Source organism: Homo sapiens, chromosome 9, assembly GCF_000001405.40.
Source record: "Homo sapiens chromosome 9, GRCh38.p14 Primary Assembly".
Taxonomy (NCBI): Eukaryota; Metazoa; Chordata; class Mammalia; order Primates; family Hominidae; genus Homo; species Homo sapiens.
The window spans coordinates 36632165-36659998 of record NC_000009.12 but is presented as its reverse complement, the minus strand read 5'-3'; the positions used below and the strand labels follow the sequence as shown (position 1 = coordinate 36659998).

Genomic DNA, 27834 nt, shown 5'->3' with positions numbered 1-27834 from the left:
GGTGAAACCTCGTCTCTACTAAAAATACAAAATTAGCCAGGTGTGGTGGCGCATGCCTGTAATCCCAGCTCCATGGGAGGCTGAGGCAGGAGAATTGCTTGAACCCAGGAGGCGAAAATCGCAGTGAACTGAGATCGTGCCATTGCACTCCAGCCTGGGCAACAAGAGCAAAACTCCATCTCAAAAAAATAAAAATAAAAAACAAAAAACACTTTAGAAGGATCTAAGATCTCACCTCAAGCTGACCTTGAGGTTTTATACAAATAGGAAATGAAATCTAATGCAGAGTTGTCAGCTGCCTGGCTGAAAGTTGCAGGCATACCCCAGATGTACACAGAGCCGGCACAAAGACTGAGAGACGAATTGATTCCAGGCATCTAAGGAAACCTCGCCAAGCATTAGCTGATCACTATGCTAATTGAGCAGAGAAAAGGTATAGTAAAAATATGATATTATAATCTCATGGACCACCATCATAAATGCAGCCCAACACTGACCTAAATGACTTAACGACTTTACAGAATTAGTTCAGAAAAGTCACTAACCAACAACAACAAACAGCAATAATATCAAATCCTGAGGAGGGGATAAATCTGATTACCAGAGCTGCCACATTATATTATTTAAAATGTCTAGTTTTCAACAATTACAAGACATATACATGCAAAGAAATAAAAAAGTATGGCCGGGCACGGTGGCTCATGCCTGTAATCCCAGCACTTTGGGAGGCTAAGGCAGGCAGATCACCTGAGGTCAGGAGTTTAACACCAGCCTGGCCAATATGGTGAAACCCCATCTTTACAAAAACACAAAAAAAAGGCCAGGTGCAGTGGCTCAAGCCTGTAATCCCAGCACTTTGGGAGGCCGAGGCGGGCGGATCACAAGGTCAGGAGATCGAGACCATCCTAGCTAACATGGTGAAACCCCATCTCTACTAAAAATACAAAAAATTAGCCAGGCGTGGTGGCGGGCACCTGTAGTCCCAGCTATTCGGGAAGCTGAGGCAGGAGAATGGCATGAACCCAGGAGGCGGAGCTTGCAGTGAGCCAAGATAGCGCCACTGCAGTCCAGCCTGGGTGACAGAGCGAGACTCTGTCTCAAAAAAAAAAAAAAAATAGAAAAAAAAAAAATTAGCCAGGCATGATGGCGGGTGCCTGTAATCCCAGCTACTCAGGAGGCTGAGGCAGGAGAATTGCTTGAACCCGGGAGGCAGAGGTTGCAGTGAGCAGAGATCCCAACAATGCGCTCCAGCCTGGGCGATACAGCGGAGCCTCTGTCTCAAACAAAAAACAAACAAACAAACAAAAAGGATGGCCCATATACACGAGAAAAACAAAAACAGTCAATGGAAATTGTCCTTGAAGAAGTCCAGACGTAGGCCTTACCAAGCAAAGACTGAAAATCAGTTTTTAAATATGTTCAAAGAACAAAAGGAAACATCTGAAGAACCAAGGGAAAGTGTAAGAGCAATGTCACAATAAATAGAGAGTATAAATAAAGATAAAATTATTTAAAAGAACAAAACAAATTCTGGAGTTCAAGAGTACAATAACCATAACAAAAAATTCACTAGAGGGATTAAACAGAACTTTCAGTAAGCAGAAGAAAGAATCTGAAACTTTGAAACAGGTTAACTGAAATTAGTCTGAGAAACAGAATGAAAATAGATAAAGAAAAATGAACAGGGCCTCAGTGTACTGTAGGGCACCATCAAGTGTGCCAATATACATGGAAGGGGAGTACCAGAAGATAAAATAAAGAGAGTGGGGCAAATAAAATATTGAAAACTTCCCAAATTTGATAAAAAACATTAATCTATACTTAATCTTCATTAATCTAAAAAGCTCAACAAACTTAAAGTCACAATAAAAAGATTATCAAAAGGAAAGAAAAACAGATCAATTGCCACCGAGAGTTGGGAGGGGAAGTTAGCCACAAGGGGAATGAGGGAATTTTGAGGAGTAACGGAACTGTTTTATATCTTAATTTTGGTGGTGGTTATACAACTGTATGCATTTGTCAAAACACATAGAATTGCACACTAAAAAAGGTGACTTTACCTATTTAACTACATGTAAAGTATACCTCATTATACCTCATTTTAAACAAAAAAGAAGGCCGGGCACAGTGGCTCACGCCTGTAATCCCAGCACTTTGGAAGGCTGAGGTGGGTGGATCACCTGAGGTCAGGAGTTCGAGACCAGCTGCCAACATGGTGAAACCCTGTCTCTACTAAAAATACAAAAATTAGCCAGGAGAGGCAGCAGGCACCTGTAATCCCAGCTACTCAGGAGGCATGAGAATCACTTGAACCTGGGAGGCAGAGGTTGCAGTGAGCCGAGATCGTGCCACTGCACTCCAGCCTGGCCAACAGAGCAAGACTCAGTCTCAAAAAATAATAATAATAAACAGGAAATAAAGGAGCAGTAAAGAGCTCTAAAATAGAATCTTGGCTTTCTTCAACTTGGATATAATTGACTTCCCTTTCATTCGTATTCCAGTTATCGCTCATAAACATTTTCAGTGGCTTAAGCATTCATTAAATTTGCAAGCACACCTTGGTTTCACATTAGTCTGGTTGTTTTTATAATTGAAACAATAGATTCTGCCTTAAATAGTAATAAGAATGACGAACCTGTGATGTTCGGGGAGTAGCAGCACCTGTTGATAAATCATCTTCACACCAATCATAGTCTATTAATCCCGCCACATAATTTTTATCACTTGCGGTCACATCTTCCAGACTCCAATTATTTGACTACTCAATGAAAGACAGAAGAACTTAAAGATGACAGTACTATGATTCAATATTTAAAATACAGTCACGCGTCACTTAACGACAGAGACACATTCTGAGAAATGTATTAGGCAATTTTATCACTGTGTGAACATCATAAAATGTACTTACACAAACTGAGACGTCAGAGCCTACTACACACCTAGGCCACACCTAGGCTGTACGTTATAGCCTGTTGCTCCTACACTACAAACCTGTGTAGCACGTTACTGTACTGAATACAGTAGGTGGCTCTAACACAACAATAAGTATTTATGTATCTAAACAAATCTAAACAGAAAAAGGCCGTCCCCATGGTGGCTCATGCCTGTAATCCCAGCACTTTGGAAGGCTGACACAGGTGGATCACTTAAGCTCAGGCGTTGGAGCCAGTCTGGGCAACACGGTGAAACCCCATCTCTACAAAAAATAGAAATTAGCCAGGCATGTGCCTGTAGGCCCAGGTACTTGGGAGGCTTAGGTGGGAGGATCACTTGAGTCCACCAGGTGGAGGTTACAACAAGCAGAAATTGTGCCACTGCACTCCAGCCTGGGTAATACAGCGAGACTCTGTCTAAAAAAAAAAGAAAGAAAAAAAAAGAAAAGGTAGAGTAAAAACATGGTATTATAATTTTATGGGACCACCATCATAAATGCAGTCCAACGTTGTCTTTATGCAGCACAAAACTGTATTCCAGGCATAGGGCAAGGCCCTGGAAACAAAAATGAATAGGAGACACTATATTGAAGGAGCTGACCATCCAGTACAGAAAAAGGAAGTCAGAAAATTTCAGTTCAAATTATCAGAAAGGAAAACCTCCGACTCTCAAATAATATGTCTTGCAACATTCTTATGTTATATAGCATACTACTTTTCATTATCACATAATCACTATAATACCAGACAACTCTACTGCAAATTTACAAATAAAAAGATCTGACAAAGTAGAAGATGGAGGGGAAACAACTTCGAAATATAGGTTTCTTCTTTGTAAGAATATACAGGGTAGTGAATAATTTCTACCAGGAAGAAAATTAGCCTTATGAAGGATCTCCTAGGGATAGGACATTTGGGGTCTTGCGCTAACAACGCCACCAAAATAACTTCTGTTCTTTCATTCTTCCTCCTCTATAAACTAAGGGTATACTAATTATACCCTGAATTCAAGACTGTGGGTGTACTTGGAGTTTTTATTTCTCCTTCCTTCCTTTTCCCTCGATATATTGTTAATCTAGCCAAGCAATTTTACTTGAATTTCTTATATCTCATCCTTTTTTTCCCAAAGTCTCACTGCCACTATCCTAGATCAAGGACAAATCTTCTCATACCTAGACTATTCAAACAGACAATATTGTCTCTACCACTAATCTTTCCACTGTCTCAACCAAGGATGACAGAGTTCTCCAGGATTACCAATTACTGTCATTTGGAACTGGATGCATGGAGAGCTAGGCTGAGAAAAATCCTAAAGCTAAGTCTAGGCTTGGTGGGGAGAAGTACAGTGCTGTACGAATGACGGCTGTCATGGGTACTCCAGTAGGGACTAATAGCACACATATCACCCCTGACTAAACAATCGTATACACCACTGGATTAATTTTTCAAAATCATGTTCATTTCTCTCTCTCTTGCTCACAAATCAATGGCTCCTCATTAACTATTGAACAAAGTCTAAAATTCTGATGTGCATTTTCAGGTTCTCTACTATCTGGCTCTTGTCCACCCTTCCAGCTCACTTGCGTTCTCTCTCTCTCTCTCTCTCTCTCTCCCCCTACTTGAACTCTTCTTTTTTAACACAAGTCCAGCCACTGTCAACAGAATACATCAAGCAAAATTAGGTGCCCCTGCTTTTGCTGATTCCATTTATCTTGCCCTGAATGTTGTGCCACTTCTTTTCCATCTTTCTAACCTTGACTGTTGGTCCAGTTTGGATCCCATGGTGATCATTCCTGTCCTCTAAAGCTCCCCAGGACACCTCTGGCCACTTCTCTGGCCCCCATCATCTACTATGATGCAGTATTATCTATGTATATATATGTCTTGACTCTTAGAGAACAAGTATTATACTTTACACAGATATGTTTCCCAGCAGCCCAGCATGGGGCCTGAAAATGCTAATGACACTGATGATGATGACGTGGTTATTTGTGATTCTTGGATCAGTCTGTACTGCTGTTTCACTGAAAGGGCCACCTATTGATTGATTGATCGATCATGATTACTTACTTTCTTATAAACAACACCCCAGAGAAAAGGGATAATTCTATCAAGGGGAAGAACAGTACAACCAGACTATGTGACTTGCTTCGTGTCTCAATAATTTGCATAAAGATTAGAAGCGAACCCAAAATTTGATTTCTATTTCACTTCTTGTTACTAAAATGTCTCTTGATCTGCCATAAAATTGATTCAATAATATGACTTTGCAAATAATTAAATTATTAGTTAAATGTTCATTAGGGAGTAGATGGAAGATAAGAGTAAATATATTTCCAGGTCTTTTCCACTTACAACTCATATAAGCAGATCAATTGAGACCAGGCCAATTCAGATATAAGAAAATCCAGGCCGGGTGTGGTGGTTCACGCTTGTGTTCCCAGCACTTTGGGAGGCTGAGGCAGGTGGATCATCTGAGGTCTGGAGTTCGAGACCAGCCTGACCAACATGGTGAAATCCCATCTCTACTAAAAATACAAAAATTAGATAGGTGTGGTGGCACACACCTGTAATCCCAGCTACTCGGGACAATGAGGCAGGAGAATCACTTGAACCCAGGAGGCGGAGGTTGCAGCGAGCCAAGACCACACTACTGCACTCCAGCCTGGGCAACAAAGCAAGACTCTGTCTCAAAAAAAAAAAAAAAAAAAAAAAAGACAATCCAATGTCTCAGGAAAATGTCTCAGGCCCCTTAACTGAGGTGTCGTAAATTTTAAAATTTAGTGAAAGTGATTTTTCTAAGCATAGAGGTATACGTATCTAATAGCTTTCTCCAATTACCTTGAGCAGATGCAAAATTCAGGGTTTTGCATTTTCCTGGACCCAGATGTGTTACTTGCACCTGAAAGTTTAAAGGGTTTGGCAGTGTGGGTGGGATGAGGGATTGGCTGATTCAAGGAGCCCATGTGCAAAAGAGCTGCCTAGGCACAGAATATTTACCAGCCATTAAAACTCTCCAACAACAGACTAGAAAACCATGCAGGATATCTCCCTTCAGAGATTTCTTTACACAACAGCCAGTGCACTGACCAACTAGGGAGGGAAAAAGAGGGGCAGGTTAGTTCTGGCAGTGACATAAGACCCACTATACCTGTAGCACATGACTGATGAGTACCAAAAGGAGATCTAAATGAGATAGATATTAAAGGAATTTGAGGGAGGGGGAATTCAACAAAAGATCATAAAAGAGGTGGCATTTTAACATTTTTTGTTTTTTTTTTACAGTTTTGAGGCCTATAAAGGGGAAAAAAACCAAACTTTCATCCACACAGTCAATTGTGTTATCTTGGATTTCATAAACAGGGCCAACCAACTACCTTTCTCTGAGGATGAGGTACAATTTCCTAGTGCTAAGATTATTTACATTGCAACCTGAATTAATCTGAGGGAAGATGACATTACAAAGTTCCATACCCATCTGGCAAAGTATTTGGATAGCTGAATTTTAAGCCATGGGAAATACAAAGAATCACACAAAACAAGGACTAACACAAGCATTTAGGAATGACATGGTGCCTCTATGTATGTAAGCTTCTTCACCATTTTAAATGTCCATGACAGGCCAGGTGCAGTCACTCATGCCAATAATCCCAGCACTTTGGGAGGCAAAGGAGGGAGGACTGCTTGAGCCCAGGTGTTCAAGACCAGCCTGGGCAACATAGCTGGACTCCATTTCTATAGAAAATTAAAAATTAGCCAGGTGTGGTGGCACACACCTGTAATCCCAGCTACTAGGGAGGCTGAGGCAGGAGGATTGCTTGAGCCTGGAAGGTTAAGGCTGCAGTGAGCCATGATCACACCACTGTACTCCAGCCAGGACAACAAAGCAAGACTTTGTTTCAAAAAATAAAACAAAAAAATTTTTTAAAGTCCATGACAAAACTGAGACAAAGACAGTGAAGTAGAGAAAAATAATTTGGTTATAACAAACACTAATCAACATGCTCCATTTCAGTATGAAAATTTTAAAAGAAACAAAAACCTAAACCCTTAACATAAATATGAAAATATTTATCAAAATGTTTCATGTCATATAAAGTATTATATATTCCATATCACAGATCTTACTCCCAACAATTTTTTTGTTCTCTGCAATTCAATAATGTGTCCTTTAAAAGTACTTGAATGCGTGTAAAAGTATGCTTTAAAAAAAAGACTGGAAAGACACAATAAATATTAACTACATCCTCCACAGGTAGTTGGTTTATAGGTAAATTCTATTTTCCTTTTAGCTCATCTGTGGCTTAAGCATTTTCTTTTTTTTTTTTTTTTTTTTGAGACAGAGTCTTGCTCTGTCGCCCAGGCTGGAGTGCAATGGCGCAATCTCAGCTCACTGTAACCTCCGCCTCTCGGGTTCAAGCGATTCTCCTGCCTCATCCTCCCAAGTAGCTGGGACTACAGGCACTCATCACCACGCCTGGCTAATTTTTGTATTTTTAGTACAGACGGGGTTTCACCATATTGGCCAGGCTGGTGTCAAACTCCTGACCTTGTGATCCACCTGCCTTGGCCTCCCAAAGTGCTGGGATTACAGGTGTGAGCCACCACACCCGGCCTGGCTTAAACATTTTCTATAGCCATCAGGAATTGCTATTATGAAAAAAAAGGAGTCAGGGGAGGAGGTTTGTAAAATGCCATGTTAACATTCAGAATTTTAGAGGCCGGGCACGGTGGCTCATGCCTATAATCCCAGCACTTTGGGAGGCCGAGGCAGGCTGATCACTTGAGGTCAGGAGTTTGAGACCAGCCTGGCCAACATGGCAAAACCCCGTCTCTACTAAAGATACAAAAATTGGCCAGGCGTGGTGATGCACACCTGCAATTCCAGCTACTCGGGAGGCTGAGGCACAAGAATCGCTTGAATCCCGGAGGCAGAGGTTGCAGTGAGCTGAGGTCATGCCACTGCACTCCAGCCTAGATGACAGAGTGAGACTCTATCTCAAAAAAAAAAAAAAAAAAAAAATTAGAGTTCAACTTCAGAACTTCCCATTTTTCTCATCAAAAATATTGAAATCATAAAACATCTTGCCTCTGACTCCTTGACACCGGAAAGTTTACCTTCCCAGTGGTATACACACTCAGGAACAGGGAGGGCACGTGGCAAGACACAACAGGCAGTAACACTTACCTTGATGTCTGTGAATGGGGTAGCACTGGCTTGTCCACAGGAGAAAGAAGAAAGCCTTAAACGAACTGGTTTTCCCCGAGCCTTCTTGGCTAGAAGCAGAAGATAGGTAGCCGTGAGGTGATCATACTGCCACTAAAGGAAAAGAAAATCAAGTTGGTTAGAAGATTACTTGTTTGTGGAAATGATGTTCTATCTTTAATTAATTTTTTTCTTCAGTGTAACATTCAGAACTTTAAAAGCCAATAGGTTTACACAGCATATGATGAAAAACAGCAACCAGTGCACCACACCTCCACACACATACAATTTCCACTCCCCCTAAGGAACAACTTTCAAACACTTTTAGCTATTTCTTCTGCTATTAATTCTGTATTTCCAAACTAAATGCTTACATAGCTTAAAATTTTTTTCAGCTTCAGATAATATGTATAAATTTCCTAGTATGAGAAATATGAATTTAACTCTACTGCAACTCCCTCCCTTTCCCACACATCTCCTCCCTGTATCCTCCTACTATAATTTTATCACAATGTTTAGCTAAGTTAATATTTGCATTATTATGATTATGTAAATAGCATTCACAACTAAGTAGGGATAATGTTCAAAATAGTTAATTGTTACCCTGACATCAACCATCAAAATAGAGGCCAAGAGGTCAGTAGGGTCCTGGGAGACGCCTGCCTTTCCAATTATTAATCTTTTAATTGTGAGAAGAGGGGAGGGAGTAGTGTCCAGGGAAGTAACAGGGCAACATGGAGGGCACTGAAGATAGTGGTTATTTACCAGTCAGTATATAAATACACTAATATTTTAACAACCAATGTGGTCATGCTGGCCGAATATCAGCTCTGCAGCTAAACCACACAGGGTGCTATTCTTGCATTTCCATTTTTTTATACCTTTGTTTTTCCTGAAGATAAAAATAAAAGTCAGTTATTCCTTACAAATTGAACTCCACCCTTTCCAACACTTTACCTCCTCTCAACATGTTCACACACATCTGCTAACTGCTTCCCCACTTAGAGAGATTCCACCTGATGTCTGCATCCTCTGCTCCACTCTGGACCGGCTTCTCAGCCAGCTACTCAATTGTCAGTCTAGGGATTCCTTTCACCTCTATCTTACAATGTAGCCCCAGTTTCCTAGATCCTAAGTATTCTTCTTTCTTGGTTTAATCTCTCATTTTTGTGGAACACATCCTCCAGTGACTTCCTGAGGGCGCATGCATGGGAAGTAAATTTTTTGAGATCTTGCATGTCTGATAAGTGACTACATTCTATCTTCACAATTGATTCTGATTTGGTTAAGCAGAGAATTCTGGGTTGATAATAATCTTCGCAGTTTTGATGGTAGTATACTCTTCTTGATTCTAGTACAGCTACTGAAAAACCTATAGTCATTTAGGTTTTGATTCTCCAGCCTTTTTGTATGAACTTTCATTTTTATCTTTGAAAACTTCCTGAATCTTATTATGAAATTCCACTAGAACAGGCCTTGGTGTGAATCTGTTTTCATCTACTGTTTCATCCCAGGTTAGGCCTCTTCATTCTTGAAAACTCATATTCTTCAGTTCTGGAATATTTCTCTTTTTTGTTTTTAATCTTAAATTTTTTTTTTAATTTTTAATAAAATAGAGGCCGGGTGCGGTGGCTCACCCCTGTAATCCCAGCACTTTGGGAGGCCGAGGCGGGTGGATCACGAGGTCAGGAGATCGAGACCATCCTGGCTAACATGGTGAAAACCCATCTCTACTAAAAATACAAAAAATTAGCCGGGCGTGGTAGTGGGCGCCTGTAGTCCCAGCTACTCAGGAAGCTGAGGCAGGAGAATGACGTGAATCTGGGAGACAGAGCTTGCAGTGAGCAGAGATCGTGCCACTGCACTCCAGCCTGGGCGACAGAGCGAGATTCTGTCTCAAAAATAAATAAATTAATTAATTTAATTAAATTAAATTAAATAGAGATAGGATCTCACTATGTTGCCCAGGCTGATCTTGAACTCCTGGCCTCAACCAATCCTCCCATCTTGGCCTCTCAGTTTTAGAATTACAGGCGTGAGCCATAGTGCCCGGCCTGGAATATTTCTTCTTGCATTATTTTCCCTTTTTTTGAGATAGAGTCTCGCTCTATCGCCCAGGCTGGAGTGCAATGGTGCAATCACGGCTCACTACAACCTCTGCCTCCTGGGTTCAAGCAATCCTCTCGCCTCAGGGTCCCGAGTACCCGGGATTACAGGCACATGCCACCACGCCTGGCTAATTTTTGTATTTTTAGTAGAGATGAGGTTTCACCATGTTGTCCAGGCTGGTCTCGAACTCCTGGTCTCAAATGATCCACCTGCCGCCTCAGCCTCCCAAAGTGCTGGGTTTACAGGCGTAAGCCACCGTGCCTAGCTGTTCTACTTTGCTCTGTCGCCCAGGCTGGAGTGCAGTGGCGCGATCTTGGGTCACTGCAAGCTCTGCCTCCCAGGTTCACGCCCTTCTCCTGCCTCAGACTCCCGAGTAGCTGGGACTACAGGCGCCCGCCACCACACCCGGCTATTTTTTTTGTATTTTTAGTAGAGACAGGGTTTCACCGTGCTAGCCAGGATGGTCTCGATCTCCTGACCTCATGATCTGCCCGCGCTGGCCTCCCAAAGTGCTGGGATTACAGGTGTGAGCCGCCGCACCTAGCCCACCAGGTTCTACTTTTAAAAGATTTCAAATGAATTTCATTTTCAAACACTTTTACTGAGCTTTTAATTTCTGTGGTCACATTTTAGATTTTCAAGAGCTATCTCTTGGAATGTTCATTTTTATTCATCTTATTCCTATGTCAAGAATGAAAATCACTTCTCTTATCTGAGAATATTAATTAGCAGTTTTTAGCCATTTTCTCCCGCTCCCTGCATATCTGGGGTTTTTTTTTCTCAGTATCTACTTTTTCTTCTTTCCTCTCCCCACCTTACTCCATTTGTTTTGATCTCCGACTTTCATGTTAGAAGTTTTCCTCAAATTTCTAGTGATTTTTGGTTGTCTGTTTCTACTTAAAAGTGAAGAATTACGTTACACAGCTGATGAGAGGTTCTATGTGTATGATGGGGCTGCTCAATACCTTGAAGGCTCCTCTCTAAGATGAACGGACAGGAACTTGAACTCCCAACCACTAATATAGTAGGATATTTATCTTAGCTTTTCCCTGGAGATAAATCTTCCAATATTTTCCCCACCATCACTGCAAATAGGATACAAATCCTGGTTTCAGCGTTCTCAAAGTTGAATAGGGAAGGGAATTTGAGATGGTGGTGCACTGTTCAATATGAAGACTTTGCGCATCCATTTCAGAATTGTTCATCATCCGCATCTGAGCTGTATTTGGTACAAGAATGCCTTGTGACCTCCAGTCTTCTGCCAGGATGCGGAAGAGGAGGCTGTTATGCAGCACAGGTAGAGAAAGGAATCTAGGGTTCTAACCCATCTTCCTGTTTTTCCTCTTCACTTCCCTGACTTCAGAGGCTCCTGGTACCTCTGATTCCTGAGCCTTTCTGGAGCTCTCATCAGTTTGCTTGATGCCTTTCTCACTGCAAGCACTTAGCTTTCAGCTTTCTCCAAAATGCTCTGACAACTACCACTTATACCACTAACCTATATCTTCCAAACTTCTAATGACATCCCTTTGTCTCCCCTTTTATTCTGCTTGTAAATATTTTGCCTTTTTATCCCTTTTTGTTAAGGTTTTAGGAAGTGTTCGACGTAAACTTAGCTGTTCAATCCACTATGTTTAATGAAAGTTTCTAAATAATGTACTGAGAAAACTATGGGGCTATCTGCCCTACAAAAGTGTTAACTTTTAACAGTACGGAATAGTCTTTCATGCTATGTAGCCCCCTCACAAAGTACATGACTCAAAAGTCAACTACCAACTCTGTTTTTAGTAATGAATTTTATTAGTTAATAACTTAGATGGCCACGATCATAGTATATGCTTTGAAATTTGCATAAATGGCCCAATCAATCTAGTAGGGGAAGCATAAAATAGTGTCATAAATTATGAAATGTTGCCTTTAATCCAAACAGGGTGAGGCAAAGAAAGGACAGTAAGGCTTCATGGCCGGGCACAGTGGCTCATACATGTTTTAATCCTAGCACTTTGGGAGGCTGAGGCGGGTGGGTCACTTGAAGTTAGGAGATCGAGACCAGCCCAGCCAACATGGTAAAACCCTGTCTCTACAAAAAATACAAAAATTAGCTGGGTGTGGTGGCAGGCGCCTGTAATCCCAGCTATATGGGAGGCTGAGGCAGGAGAATTGCTTGAACTCGGGAGGCGGAGGTTGCAGGGAGCAGAGATTCTGCCGCTGCACTGCAGCCTGGCGACAGAGGGAGACTCCATCTCAAAAAAAAAAAAAGAAAGAAAGAAAGAAAAGAAAAGAAGAGGCTTCATGGAGAAGGTGGCTGGGAAACTATGGTGGGGTGGAAAATATATACTTATAATCACTCTCCACTTTCCAAAAACTACATTAAAGACTTTTTCCCACCCCACATCTATGATAGCCCCATGTACGATAGCCACCTTTTTGAAAGAGATGTCATAAACTGACTAGAGACAATGGCTAAGAAACAAGTTGCCACTTTCTTATCAATGATGGCATGGCATAACCCAGGCATTGTAAACAATTCCTGGATAGTGCTAAGAGTTTTAGATGGAGTTTCCTAAACATGCCTAGGATTTCTACAACCATCCTCTAAACCCTCCTTTTCCCTAGGCAAAAAAAGCATCTTTTTCATAACTTTCTGGCCAGTGTCACTGTATACTTCTCATTATAAGATGCACAGGAGAGTTCTGTGTTCAATAACAGATAAATCAACACATTAGTTATGCTTTCAGGTGATGTCAATCCACAAGTCTAAGACAAAGGTTTCCCTTATCTTTTAGGCAATTCCCTCTTTTGAAAGTCAAATGTCTGAAAGTAAAGTGATAGGGTTACCTGTGAGAAAGTTCCATTTCTAGAAAACTAAAAACATTCTTAAATCCCCAGTTAAATGTTAAAGAGGTGTCCTGGCACCTGGGTTGAGGAGAGGCAGCTACTAGTGCAGAGGGGCACAGACACGGAGGAGTGGCCCCTACCCTTCCTCTGACCCTCCTCCTGAGGCCTTCAGTCTTTACACACATGGGTGTTTACATCACAGGGGTGGGGAAAATGGATCTGTCCTGGACTGAATAGGTTCTCGAACACACATGTGACCCTTAGTGAAGGTCCCCTAGCAGAGGACTGGCTGCTGCCACAATCCAGAGCCACTCAGGGCTGGAGGAACAGGAAGACAGTAAGGAAAGCACTGTTGGGAATCTCAAAAGGAATACAATGAGATCACTCAAAATCATGAGACATAGGAGGCTCACCGCTGCATAGAGAAAGCAGTTTCAGAGTGCTCCTGTATATAATATAAAAGTGGGAGTTCTTATAAGTTGAATGTTTGAGAGTAATATTGTTTCTCTCTCTCTCTGCACAAAGATCAGCAGCACCATACCAGCATATGGATCACACAGAACTAATCTCTCTCTGTCCTGTCTAATCAGCCCCAAAAGTGAAGGCAGAGCTCTCAGGATGTCACAGAAAAACATAACAGACCCTGGCTAGTCTCAAACCTGGTTTTCCTGAGGCTCTTCAAATTGGAAAGTATGTAGAGCCAGTATGAATTCTCTGAGCTACCCAGACAAGGGTTTCTCAACCTTGGCACTATTGACATCTGACCTGGATAACTGTTTGTTGTGAGGGGCTCTTCTGTGCATTGAAGGATGTTTGGCAGCATCCCTGGCCTCCACCCGCTAGATGGCATTAGTACACATACACAAACCCCAGTTACGACAACCAAAAATGTCTCTAGTCACTGCCAAATGCCCCCTGAGTGCCAAAATCACTCCTGGTTGAGAACTGAGCTAGACCAATGCTTCTGAAGCTTTACTAACCATATGAACCACTTGGAGATTTGACACAGATTCTGATTCAGTAGGTCTGAGGTGAGGCCTGAGAGTCTTCGCGGCTAAAAAGCACCTGGATGCTGCTGCTGCTGGTCCTAGGCCACACTTTGAACAGCAAGGATCTAGAGCACTGCTTCTCGACTCTGGCTGCGTACCACAGTCAGCTGGGAAGATTTCTAAAAATTCTCATGCCTCGGCTATACCCTAGACCAACTGAATCATCATCTGTGGGGTTGAGACCTAAACATCAGAATTAAAGTTCCCAAGAAATGCCACTATACAGCCAAGGTGAGAATCTCTGATCTAGAGTGAGTAGCCTATAACCTACTCATCCCTGGGACTCAACGAAGTATGAACAGGGATTTAAGAATGAGAAAAGAGTACAAAGGAAGAAAAACTATTACTTTCCTCACTACATTCTTGATGTTGGTCATGCTTAACTTTCAGAATAACTGAGAAGATCTTTAGAGAACTGTAACACCAGGAAACAACTTCTACTATGCTTTGTTATGTTTTATGCACCAGAAGGAAAGCAAATAATTTGTATTTCCATTTCACTTTTAAGTCTGAAAATTATAGGTAGAGACGTCATAAAAGATACCATTTTAAAGACTTTTTCAATGATTATTGAAACTCTAAATATGTTACTTTTTTTTTTTTTTTTTTTGAGACGGAGTCTCACTCTGTCACCAGGCTGGAGTGCAGTGGCGTGATCTTGGCTCACTGCAACCTCTGCCTCCCAGGTTCAAGCCATTCTCCTGCCTCAGCTTCCCGAGTAGCTGGGATTACAGGCACGTGCCACCACGCCCGGCTAATTTTTGTATTTTTAGTAGAAACGCGGTTTCACCATGTTGGCCTCAATCTCCTGACCTCATGATCCGCCCGCCTCGGACTCCCAAAGTGCTGACATTACAGGCATGAGCCACCGCGCCCGGCTTAAGTATGTTACTTTTAAGATTCAGATTTTTAAAGTTTGTAGATCTCATACCAATTTGTCCTGGATAAACTGACATGCTATCTGGGATTTACGTGGAAATATCCCAGCTGGAAAGGGAAGAAGGGAGAAAGTGGTAGGATATAGATTAAATTGGCAAAATGTTATTAACTATTGGAACTGAATGATGAGAACATGGAAACTCAGTGTTGTTATACTATTCTCTCTACTTTGGTGGGTAAATTTTTCTATAATAACATTTTTTAAAATTTCAGTATCTAAAGTATAGTCTTCCATTAAAGATTATCCCAAAGAAAATGTCCTACAATTTATTTTTTCAGGTTGCTTAAATGGAAACTTCAAATTTTCACTAATGAAAGACTGAGGACCACACAAATCTTACAGCAATTCCCAAGTCTTACTATTTCCCTAAAGGCATTATCCATGAAAAAGTAAATTATACTACCATTTCCAGATACATTCTGTGTGTCTTTACTTATTATGTCATTCAGAAGAATTCCTTTATATTTTCTCCTTACTGAAAAGAATTGTGCCTTAGCAAAGCTTTGTTTAATTTTTTAAAAAAATTGCTTAAGGACTCCACCTTGCAAGTTAAAGAACAGATAAAGCAAACATAAATCACAGGTGATAGAAGACATAGTACTGGGCCAGGAACAAAGTGAGGTACAAGTCACCCTTCACATTAGAGACAGCTGTGACTGCCTTGATCTCTTAAAACACACACACACACACACACACACACACACACACACACACACAAAACACAGGTATGATCTAGAGACTGAGCATCTGAAAGAGCCAAAATAATCCAACACCAGAAATCATGATAATGCTTTCATGGTATTTGGTTTGTCCACTTAGGGGTGACGTGACGCTGCTGTTGCTTTCAGGTGAAAAGAAAATTGCTTTGTGTTTACCTCATTTCCACAGCAGAAACCCAGTTGCATGTTAGAGAACTTTAAAGTAGTCAAAATTAGAACTCTGTCCATTCTTTGTGCACTAGTTTGTTGTTTCTTTTCTTTTTTTTTTTTTTTTGAGATGGAGTCTCACTCTGTCGCCCAGGCTGGAGTGCAGTGGCGTGATCTTGGCTCACTGCAAACTCCGCCTCCCAGGTTCACACCATTCTCCTGCCTCAGCCTCCCAAGTAGCTGAGACTACAGGCATCTGCTACAACGCCCGGCTAATTTTTTGTATTTTTAGTAGAGACGGGGTTTCACTGTGTTAGCCAGGATGGTCTCGATCTCCTGACCTCGTGATCCGCCCACCTCAGCCTCCGAAAGTGCTGGGATTACAGGCGTGAGCCACCGTGCCCGGCCAGTTGTTTCTTAATTATTTTTTCACTGTAATTCTTCTTCATCAATGTTTTAAGTATGGAGTGTTCATTTTTAAAGAAGATATCTAGCACACATCAGGACTGTGTGGAAATCATATGTAAATATTTTTTAAATGCAATATTTGTACCCATAATAAAATCACAGGTCTGAAAATGCTATACTATTTTTCATGTACTGATAAAATAAAGAACAATGAAACAAAAGATACTACTCTCAAATTGGTGCTGTATTTTTTTTCTTTTTCTTTTTTTGAGATGGAGTTTAGCTCTTGTTGCCCAGGCTGGAGTGCAGTGGTGTGATCTCAGCTCACTGCAACCTCTGCCTCCCGGGTTCAAGTGATTCTCGTGCCTCAGCCTCCCAAGTAGCTGGGATTACAGGCACGTGCCACCACACCTGGCTAATTTTTGTATTTTCAGTAGAGATGGGGTTTCACCACATTGGCCAGGCTGGTCTCGAACTCCTGACCTCAAGTGATCCTCCCACCTCGGCCTCCCAAAGTGTTTGGATTACAGGCGTGAGCCACTGCGCCCAGCCCATGCTGTATTTCTTACCAGTGAAATTAAATCCTCCATTGTTTGCCTGTTGTTTCTGTGATGTACAGAAAGTTCTGTTACGCAATCATCATCGAGGTGAATAAACTACAAAAAAAAATTATGCACTTTATTAACAAAAAATTACAAATATATTCAATGTTTTCACATTTTAAAATCAGCATAATTACTTTATACAATCAAATATCATTATGTAAAACATGAATCTGTCAATTTCTTGGGGAAGAATCAATATTCTCTATAATCTTTTAAGAAGTAAGCATATTCCAGCAAGCATTTCAAGAAGATGTGCTCTTTCCCAACTCTTTATCCCCATCATCATCTGAGCAACTGTTGTTAAAGTTCGGTTGTACAATGCCGGGCACAATAGTTCACACCTGTAATTCTAGCATTTTGGGAGGCTGGGGCGGGCAGATCACCTGAGGTCAGGAGTTTGAGACTGGCCTGGCCAGCATGGTGAAACCCCATCTCTACTAAAAATACAAAAATTAGCCAGGCATGGTGGCGAGCATCTGTAATCCCAGCCACTTGGGAGGCTGTGGCACAAGAATCACTTGAACCCAGGAGGCGGAGGCTGCAGTGAGCTGACACTGTGCCACTGCACTCCAGCCTGGGCAACAGAGCGAGACTCTGTCTCAAAAAAAAAAAAAAAAAAAAAAAAAAAAGTTCTGTTGTACAGCCCAGGGACTGTATACTCCCCTTCCCTACCACAAGACCTGCATTGGTATTTTCATCAAAGAGCAGCCACCTAGGCATCTAAAATCAGTGGCTATACAACAGACTGGTAAAAGAGTGATTCAAACTTGTAGAGCACAGGGTACCTCAGGTTATGTTTATGTTTAGCACAATTCAAGGAGCCTTTACGATGGTGCCATAGATGCCACACGATCGTTATTTTGCTGGACCACAACTTTAAAAAAGAATATAAGTAAGAGCCTCTATACAAAATTCATTTTGCTTAAGGACAGAAATTATCCAAATAATCCCTACATGATGGTACCTCACTAAAGGTAGGGCTGGAAATGGGTTCTCAGAACCAAGCAAGGATCACTGAGAACAAAAAGGCAGGAATCAGGAATAGCCTGGCCTGGACCTGGAAGGGAGCTCAGAAGATTACACAGGAAGAGAAGCAGAGGAATACAACTTTAAAGTTCATCTTTCCAACATAACTCTCTTAGGCCAGGTGCGGTGGCTCACGCCTGTAATCCCAGCACTTTGGGAGGCCGAGGTGGGTGGATCATCTTAGGTTGGGAGTTGGAGACCAGCCTGACCAACATGGAGAAACCCCGTCTCTACTAAAAATACAAAATTAGCCAGGCGTGGTGGTGCATGCCTGTAATCCCAGCTACTCAGGAGGCTGAGGCAGGAGAATCGCTTGAACACAGGAGGCGGAGGTTGTGGGGAGCTGAGATCAAGCCATTGCACTCCAGGCTGGGCAACAACAGTGAAACTCCATCTCCAAAAAAAAAAAAAAAAAAAAATCTCTCTTTATGGCAGCCCGAGTGAGGGATGCTTTATGTTCTGCTTAAAGGCCTCCTCTCCAGGGTACACAGAACAGCTGGAATGGTTAGCATCTCCCTCCTGCTGCCTGAGGTCTGTCTCCCTGTGATCTCTGTCCACTGGGAATTGGTACAAACTGATGGCTAACAGGCTTGGGAATTAGACAGACCTTAGTTTTAATTGCAACAGGACTTAATAACCATGCGGCCTTGAACATGACCACACCTCTGAGTCTCAGTTTCATCATCTGCTAGAGAGAGATGGTATGTGCCCTGCAATATATGCAACATAGAGCAAGCGCCTAGTACAACATCTCAACAGAGTAGGCCCTCAAAAACTGGTTATTTTCACCAACAGTCATAATTCTATTTCCTCTGTGCTAAAAGAGCCTTTCAGAAATTTGCGTATTCCTATTATAAGCAACCTTTCCTCTGCAAGTCTTCCGTTTTCTAGTTCCGCCAACCTCCACTTTAATGATTAACTCCCCTTACTATTCTGGCCCTTTCTTTAGATCACACTCCAGGTTGATACTACACATCAAAGTGAAGTATTCAGAACCAAACATAACAAGAAAGAGAGGTCTGCCCAGCACAAGGCAGGGCAATATCATGAGCTTCCCTTGTTTTGAACATCACACTTGTAACAACAAGCTCAAGAGAAAGGCTGCCATCATGAAAAGAAACAGTAAAGACAAATTTTTCCCCTCAATTCATACGCTGAAACCTAATCACTAGTGTAATAGTATTAGGAGGTTGGGTCTTTGGGAGGTGAGTAGGTCACAAGTGGGCTCTGCCCTCATAAATGGGGTTATTACACTTATAAAAGAGGCCCCAGGCCAAAGTACAATGGCTCATGCCTGTAATCCCAGGGCTTTGGGAAGCTAAGGTGGGAGGATCACTTGAAGCCAGGAGTTGGAGACTGGCCTGGGCAATACAGCAAGACTCCATTACTACAAAAAAATATTCAAAAATTAGCCAGGTGCGATGGCTCACATGCGTAGTCCTAGCTACTCAGGAGGCTGAGGTGGGAGGATCACTTGAGCCCAAGAGTTCAAGGTTACAGTGAGGTATGATCAAGCCACTGCACTCCAGCCCAGGTAAAAGAATGAGACCCTATCTCTTTAAAAAAGAAAAAGAAACAGAAAAGAAAAGAAAGAAAAGAGGCTCCAGAGGCCTTTCCCCTTTCTCCCGTTCCACCACGTGAGGACACAGCAAGAAAGAGCCATTCTATGAACCAGAAAGTGGGCCCTCATCAAACACCAAATCTGCTGGTGCCTTGATCTTTTTTTTCTTTATTTTTACTCTCCAGAACTCTAGCTCTATGATGCCTTGATCTTGAACTTCCCAACCTCCAGAACTGCAAGAAATAAATTTCTGTTCTCTCTAAGCCACTCAATTTATGGTATTTTGTCACAGCAGCTCAAACAGACTGAGAGAGCCTTGCATTATTGACTGGTATAAGCACAACCTCATGGGTTACAAAGTAGAGACCACAAAGGTTTATACTAGTGGTACTGTTAAAGTCCAAAGTGCTAAGAATAAGTTTTCATTGTGCTGCTTTGACTATGACCGCTCCTAGAACTGTAGATTTCCCCTCAAGATGGTCTCAACCTCAGAAGCCTAGACACCTTAATACCTGGTATCCTCTTGTTGATGTCAACACTGCTCAAGCAAGAAAATAAATTTTTGAGGTTCCCTCCATCATCTTAAGTGTAAAAAAAAAATATTTTTTTAACTGTAAAAGAACCCCTCTCTCCCGCAGCCTCCTGCCTGTACCTTTACCACAAGGCATATGTGTGAGAAAGGCAGGAGATGGAAGAAGGAGGTTCTACTATCTCTGCTGGGCTCCTGAACTGGAAACAATGAAATGAGTGTGGTAGAAAAGATACCAAGGGTCTAAAAAACATGATTAATCTCAAGCTGTGTCTTCCAAAGAGGATCAATACTTAAAGCGCTCTGAATCCTCAGCCACACATACTCAAATTAAGTACAAAACTGCATACCAAAAGCTAGCCAATTATTTTGGATTATCTGTGCCTACTACATTTCCTGTTCGCCAGGGCAGAAAATGAAACTGACTATAATTTCTATTTGATGCAATACTTGGGTACCAGAACTATGTATGAAAATGGTAGGAGGCGATCATGCGTAGAGTTACAGAACAGACAGCATCTATACCTTAAATATTCAAGGAAATCTGAATTTTTTTTAATAGTTCACTCTTGATGAAACACAACACTGAAAGAGAAAAGCAAATCCTTTAAAAAGCAACAACAATTCATTATGCCTCTCCTGTATATAATTCATTTGATCCTGTAACAGCTCTGCAAGGCAGGCAAAAGAGATTAATGATACAACATGTAAAGTTACTCTATAAATGGCAAAACATGACCCAAACATACACAGATTGACATTAGAATACCCATATTAGAGGTGATAAAATGAAGACTCAGAAAAGTTACTGTGATCTGCCTAAGACTGGCATTTTTCATTCCTAGCCCCAGGTTTTCCTACCATAACACAATGCCACCTCTCCATCACTCTGCTCCAGTAGCTACTTCAACAGACACCAGATAAGCAATGCTCGCCACAAAGGCTGCAAATACACAGGACGTGGGCCCTGAGCTTGAATCAGCTAGCCTATCAGATCCATTCCATTCCAGAACCCTTCGGTGTGCGTTTAAATCCTGGTTCTACACTTACTCGTTGTTTGACCATGGGCAAGTTACTTAATGATTCTGTGTCTCAGTTGCCTCATCTGCAAAAAGGGGCAATAATAGTACCTTCTTCGGAGGATTGGCGTACAGATTAAATGGATTAAAGGAGTTAACACAACATAAAGCCCATAGGATAGTGCCTGACTCTTAAAGGTACTATCCTAACAGTTCTACCTATATTTTACCACAGTATAATATACAGAGAGCCCTTACTAAAATAGTACACTATTCTACTCTACGTGCTCAGTAAATAGTAGCAATTATTAAATTAAGATGTAAGGGAGGCTGGGCATGGTGGCTCACATCTGTAACACCAGAACTTTGGGAGGCTGAGGTCGGCCGATCACCTGAGGTCGGGAGTTAAAGACCAGCCTGACCAACATGGATAAACCCCGTCTCTACTAAAAATACAAAATTAGCTGGGCGTGGTGGCGCATGCCTGTAATCCCAGCTACTCGGAAGGCTAAGGCAGGAAAATCGCTTGAACCCAGGAGGAAGAGGCTGCGGTGAGCCGAGATCACACCACTGCACTCCAGCCTGGGCAACAAGAACGAAACTCCATTTCAAAAAAACAAACAAAAAAAAGATGTAAGGGAAACTGTATACTCTTTTGGAACACTCATAACTTTATATATTTTACTTTATACTGTGTCCCAAATAAAAAAAAACTCTTGGGGTTGTAGAAAGCAGAGACTTTCTTCATTTTGGCATCTAACACAAACAGTAATGTATTCTATCCTATTAGGATCATGGCTGAGAAGATGTGCAAAGCCCTCCGCACATGGAGAAATGATGACCCCCAATGGCTGAACACAGGCATTTGCACCACCCACTCTCTCCACCTCACAAGGGGCACATCACAGCTTCCCTGGTTCTGCTGCTACACTGCTCAGACACTTGCACATTCTGCTTTTCTTAGGATCTTGGTGTGGTTGCTGTTAGAATTATGTTATATTTGCTCAATAGATATTAAAGATGTCATGTAGGGCTGGGGGAATTTAGATAACAGAAGTTTTAGGAGTTGACAGTCATAGGAGAATCAGGAGTGATTTCAGCTCAGGCCACATGGCCCATTAATAGTGGGCAGAACAGTGAGAAAGGGCTTGGAGCAAGTATAGTCTATCTTTCCAAGACGAGCTGGCTACTGGGAAGGATATTTACATTGGTGTGATTATTCCAGAAAGCAAATACCCCACAGCTCTACCAATTCTATGCTGTGGCATATCTGAGACACACCTCTAAGCTGTTGTGTTGATTCATGCACATGTCCTAGTCCACTGCAAAAGTTTTGGTGACATATCAGAGAATATCCCCAATTATCTGGAAACACTATTAAAATACTTCTATTTTTTCTAATTACATATCTGTGTGAGGCTGTATTTTCTTCATTTGTTTCAATCAAAACGATGTTATCAAAACAGGCTGAATGCAGAAGCACATGAGTTGTCTTCTAATAAGACAGACTTCAAAGAAATTGGCAAAGATGTAAAGCAATGCCACTCTTCTCACTACATTTATATCTTAAATAGTTGCTTTTCATTTTTCCGTTCCCTTATCTATAAATAGGGAATAAGAATTGTACAACCTTGAAAGATACACCTTCCATAGTGGCTCTGGGCTTTGTCACATGGCTTGCTTTGGCCAGTGGAACATTAGTAAGTACAATGCAAGCAGAAGCTTGAAAAATGCTAGAGCACTAGGGCTTATCCTCTTTCTTCTTTTGAAATCTAGTTGCTGGCCGGGTGCAGTGGCTCATGCCTGTAATCCCAGCACTTTGGGAGGCCGAGGCAGGCGGATAACAAGGTCAGGAGATCGAGACCATCCTGGCTACCATGGTGAAACCCCGTCTCTACCAAAAACACAAAAAATTAGCCGGGTGGTGGCAGGCACCTGTAGTCCCAGCTACTCGGGAGGCCGAGGGAGGGGAATGGCATGAACCCGGGAGGCAGAGCTTGCAGTGAGCAGAGATCGTGCCACTGCTCCAGCCTGGGTGACAGAGTGAGACTCGGTAAGAAAGACAAGAAAGACAAGAAAGACAAGAAAGACAGAAAGAAAGAAAGACAGAAAGAAAGAAAGACAGACAGAAAGAAAGAAAGAAAGAAAGAAAGAAAGAAAGAAAGAAAGAAAGAAAGAAAGAAATCCAGTTGCTACATAAAAAAGTCCAGGTTAGCCTGATGGACACATGTGGCCCAGGAAACAGCCAGTCTTTCTAGTGAGGCTTGGACCATTCAGCCCAGTTACAAGATGACTGTAGCCACGACCCCAGGTAAGGCCTACATAAGAACAGCCCAGCTGAACCCAGCCCAAATATCTGGTCCACAGAACTGTAAATTATTACTGTTTTTTTTTAATTAATTTATTTTTTGAGGCGGAGTTTCGCTCATGTTGCCCAGGCTGGAGTGCAATGGCGCAATCTTGGCTCACTGCAACCTCCGCCTCCCAGGTTCAAGTGATTCTCCTGCCTCAGCCTCCCGAGTAGTTGGGATTACAGGCATGCACCACCACGCCCAGCTGATTTTGTATTTTTACTAGAAACGGGTTTCTCCATGTTGGTCAGGCTGGTCTCAAACTCCCAACCTCAGGTGATCCACCTGCCTCGGCCTCCCAAAGTGCTAGGATTACAGGCGTGAGCCACCGTGCCCAGCCAAATTATTGTTTTAAGCCACTAAATTTCAGGGTAGTTTTTAATGCAGCAATAACTAATACACAAAATATCCAAGTCCTATAGTAATATCCACATTTTTACCAAGTGGCCATTTGTTTGAAAAAAAGCATTTTTAAGGCCAGGCACAGTGGCTCACGCCTGTAATCCCAGCACTTTGAGAGGCCAGGGCAGGCAGGTCAGGAGTTCAAGACCAGCCTGGCCAACACAGTGAAACCCCGTCTCTACTAAAAATATAAAAATTAGCCAGGCATGGTGGCACATGCCTGTAGTCCCAGCTACTCGGGAGTCTGAGGCAAGAGAATCACTTGAACCCAGGAGGCGGAGGTTGTGGTGAGCTGAGACTGCGCCATTGCACTCCAGCCTGGGCATCAGAGCGAGACTCCATCTCAAAAAAAAAAAAAAAAGCATTTTTTAAAAACAATGTAGAAATAGTATTTTTTAAATTGTTTAAACTTAAATAACACTTGGTGTTGTTTATGTTTTTTTACATATACGCATATTAGACCAGTTCTCAAAGCACGGTCTGCAGATGCCTGAGAGTCTCCAAGGTCAAACTATTTTTATAATAATATTATTTTTCATTTTTCAAAGTGTTGACATTTGTATGGATGGTACAAATGCAGTGATAAAATTGCTGGCAGCTAGGTGCAGTGGCTCATGCCTGTAATCTCAGCATTTTGGGAGGCCAAGGCAGGCGGACCACCTGAGGTCAGGAGTTCAAGACCAGCCTGGCCAACATGGTGAAATCCCATCTCTACTAAAAATACAAAAATTAGCCAAACGTTGTAGCAGGCGGCTGTAATCCCAACTAATCGGGTGGCTGAGGCAGGAGAATTGCTTGAAACTGGGAGGCGGAGGTTGTAGTCAGCCAAGATCGTGCCATTGCACTCCCGTCTGGGCGATAATAGCGAGATTCCCACTCAAAAAAAAAAAAATTAAAATTAAATAAATAAATTGCTGGCACCTTAGTATGAATCAATGCAGTGGCACCAAACTGTACTAAAATATTGTATTCTTTGTCATATACCCATAGTTCGAAAAGAAGCCAGTTTCAATTAAGAATTTCCTTGATAAACCAGTAAAATATATTAATTTTATTACATTTCTGAGTACGTTTTTAATACTCTGTGTGACTAAATAGGAAGTAGCATAATGTACTTCTACAATACCAAAGTTTGATAGCTGTCTCGAGGAAAAGCACCTGTATGACTGAATTATGAGCTCAATTAGCCATTTTTTTCTTTTTCTTTTTCTTTTGAGATGGAGTCTCACTCTCCTCCCGGGTTCAAGCTATTCTCCTGCCTCAGCCTCCTGAGTAGCTGGGATTACAGGTGTGTGCCACCACGCCCAGCTAATTTTTGTATTTTTAGTAGAGACAGAGTTTCACCATATTGGTCAGGCTGGTCTCGAACTCCTGACCTCATAATCTACCCGCCTGGGATCCCAAAGTGCTGGGATTACAGATGTGAGCCACTGCACCCAGCCTCTTTTCTTTTTGAAACAGAGTCTCGCTCTGTCACCCAAGGCTGGAGTGCGGTGGCGCTCTTAGCTCACTGCAACCTCTGCCTCCCGAGTTCAAGCAATTCTTCTGCCTCAGCCTCCTGAGAACCTGGGATTATAGGCACTACCATGCCAGCTAATTTTTTGCATTTTTAGTAAAGATGGGGTTTTACCATGTTGGCCAGGCTGGTCTGGAACTCCTGACCTCAAGTAATACGCCTGCCTCAGCCTCCCAAAGTGCTGGGATTACAGGTGTGAGCCACCGTGCCTGGCCTAATTAGCCATTTTTTTCAAAGAACACCATTTTGATGAGAAAGAACACGGACTAACTATAGTTATTTAGACTTAAATGTTCAGCAGACATTTTCTCAAAAATGAACCAAGGGAATTTGTCAGTTCAAGGAGAATGACATATTTGTTGTCAATGATAGAATTTTAGCTTTTAAGCAAAAATTAGAATTTAGAAAACTTTTATTTGCCACCATGATCTTGAGTGCTTTCCAATAGTTAAAGACTTTTCTACTGAGATCAGTAGTGATTTTAAGGAATGTGATTTAATGTTGTATAACGAAATGTGTTAACGTTTGGAAGATTTGCATAACTCAGCAAACCAGTGTTTTCCAAATAACCAATGCATCATGTTATGTGAGGAAAAGATCCAATGGACAGAACAATGGATTTTATGGAATACAGTACAAAATTTCATTGATATGGCTTCAGATTCCACATGCAATTACCCTTTAAGAAACTACCATTTGTCAAGTTTTAATGGGCTATCAGAAACTGTCTGAATGGCTATTAGAATTTTTCTTCCTTTTCCTATTGCATATCTGTGTGAGGCTGCATTTTATTCCTTGGCTTCAATCAAAACAACCTATCAAAACAGACTGAACACAGAAGCAGGTGGCTATACAGGTGTCTTCTATTAAGCCAGACTTTAAAGAAATTTGCAAAGTTGTAAAACAATGTCATTCTTTTTGCTAAATTTATTTTGTAAATGGTTATTCTTCATAAAAATATTTGTGTTAATATGCAATAGTTTTATCATATTAGTTTTTAATGAATAAATAAATATTAAGAGTATAAAGGGATCCTCAAACTAAAAAGTTTGAGAACTACTGTACCCTCATAACTTCTCTGGGAAGTAGAACTGGTTTAACCTACTTTTTACAGATGAATAAATAGGTTCTGCAAAGTTAAGTAACTTGTCCAAGATTCCCAGAGCACTGTGACTGACTGCACATGAGAAACACCTGGGAGCTTTTAAAAACTCCCATTAAGTGTTCTGGGATGGGGAGCAGGCATTTCTTTTTAAGGTCCCAGGTAATTCTCATTTGCAGATGGGGTTAAGGAACCACTGTCCATTAGGTTACAAGTCTCCCAAACACCAATCTGATTAATATATTTTCTTGTATATTTAGACCACATCATTGTAGGTTCTGAATTCACCCAAAGACCACACAAAGTCAAAAAAAAATTCTACTGGATTTCATTTTACTTACAGGATTCTTGCTTTGCCACTCAACAGGATAGTTGTAATCTTGCATGATCCAGGGATGGTTCAATAGATTTTTCATAGAAATCCGTTTCTTTGGGTCCACCTAGTGGCCATTAAAAAGTAGCTAGAGATTAACATTTCAAATAGAGAACATAGAACACCTTTCCTCCTGAAAACTAAAAATGCATCAGAACAGATGTAAACTTTATCATCACAAAAATGCTGTCAAAGACTTTAAAATGGCCTTGGAAGAAATTCTTTTAAAAAGGCAACAGAGGCAAGAAAACTATAGCAACCAACACAGGCTTAGAAGATAAATGTTTAACAAACATGAACTTCATTGGTATGGACATTATTCGTGAAGTTCAATCTATTGTATGATGTAATAGTCTTTTGCTGGAAAACCTATTCACGGGAAATATTCACCAATTAAACATTCAAGCAGCCACAATGCAGGGCATTCATACTGAATATGCAATCTCTACCTCCAATGAGCTTACAATCACACAGAACAAGTTGAAAAGCACACCTTTCCATTTGTAATTTTCAAATGTAAGGAGAGAAAAATTAATCAACAAAGATTAACGTTATTTTGGAGTCTAGAAGAAAGAGTAAGGCATTTTCAATCTCATTACGGAGATTTGGTGGTCTGGCCCTACTTAATCAAGGTGAGTGAGCCTGAGGTAAATTTTGAATAAAAGATGGAGATGACTTAATAGATGAAAAAACCAGAAGATATTCTGAATACATAATGAAAAAAAAATTGCACTAAGAAGATACTCATATTTTCAAAGTGTTTCCTATCAATCTCATTTTGTCCTTATAACACTACATAGCAGTGAGGCCAGGCTCAGAACCCCCATTTTATAGATCAGATTAGGTGATACATTGATTAATTGGTAGAGTGCTTACCTAGGCTTCAGCACTCCTATCTTTCACCCTCAGAGGCTCATTCCAATAAATCTGTGGTTCTCAAAGTGTGGCCCCAAGACCTGCAGCATCAGCATCTTCTGGGAGCTTGTTAGAAATGCAAAATTTCA

The 27834-nt window shown here is 41.4% G+C and overlaps 1 protein-coding gene across 53 annotated transcripts in view; it reads right to left on the bottom strand.

Moving 5' to 3' along the window:
- MELK (maternal embryonic leucine zipper kinase) overlaps positions 1–27834 on the bottom strand; it is a 104788-nt gene that overhangs the window by 17684 nt on the left and 59270 nt on the right. For 19 of the 53 annotated variants that reach the window (NR_046337.2, XM_011518076.3, XM_047424173.1 and 16 more), the window contains 4 exons: positions 26799–26897; positions 16916–17002; positions 8122–8253; positions 2636–2758 (listed from right to left, as the gene is read on the bottom strand). Coding sequence is in view for 52 of the 53 variants with exons in the window: in XM_011518076.3 (XP_011516378.1) it covers positions 2636–2758; positions 8122–8253; positions 16916–17002; positions 26799–26897 (441 nt within the window). In the remaining variant the exon portion in view is untranslated. The remainder of the gene's footprint in view (positions 1–2635; positions 2759–8121; positions 8254–16915; positions 17003–26798; positions 26898–27834) is intronic. The other 34 variants (XM_047424171.1, XM_047424192.1, XM_047424182.1 and 31 more) reach the window with 3 other exon arrangements.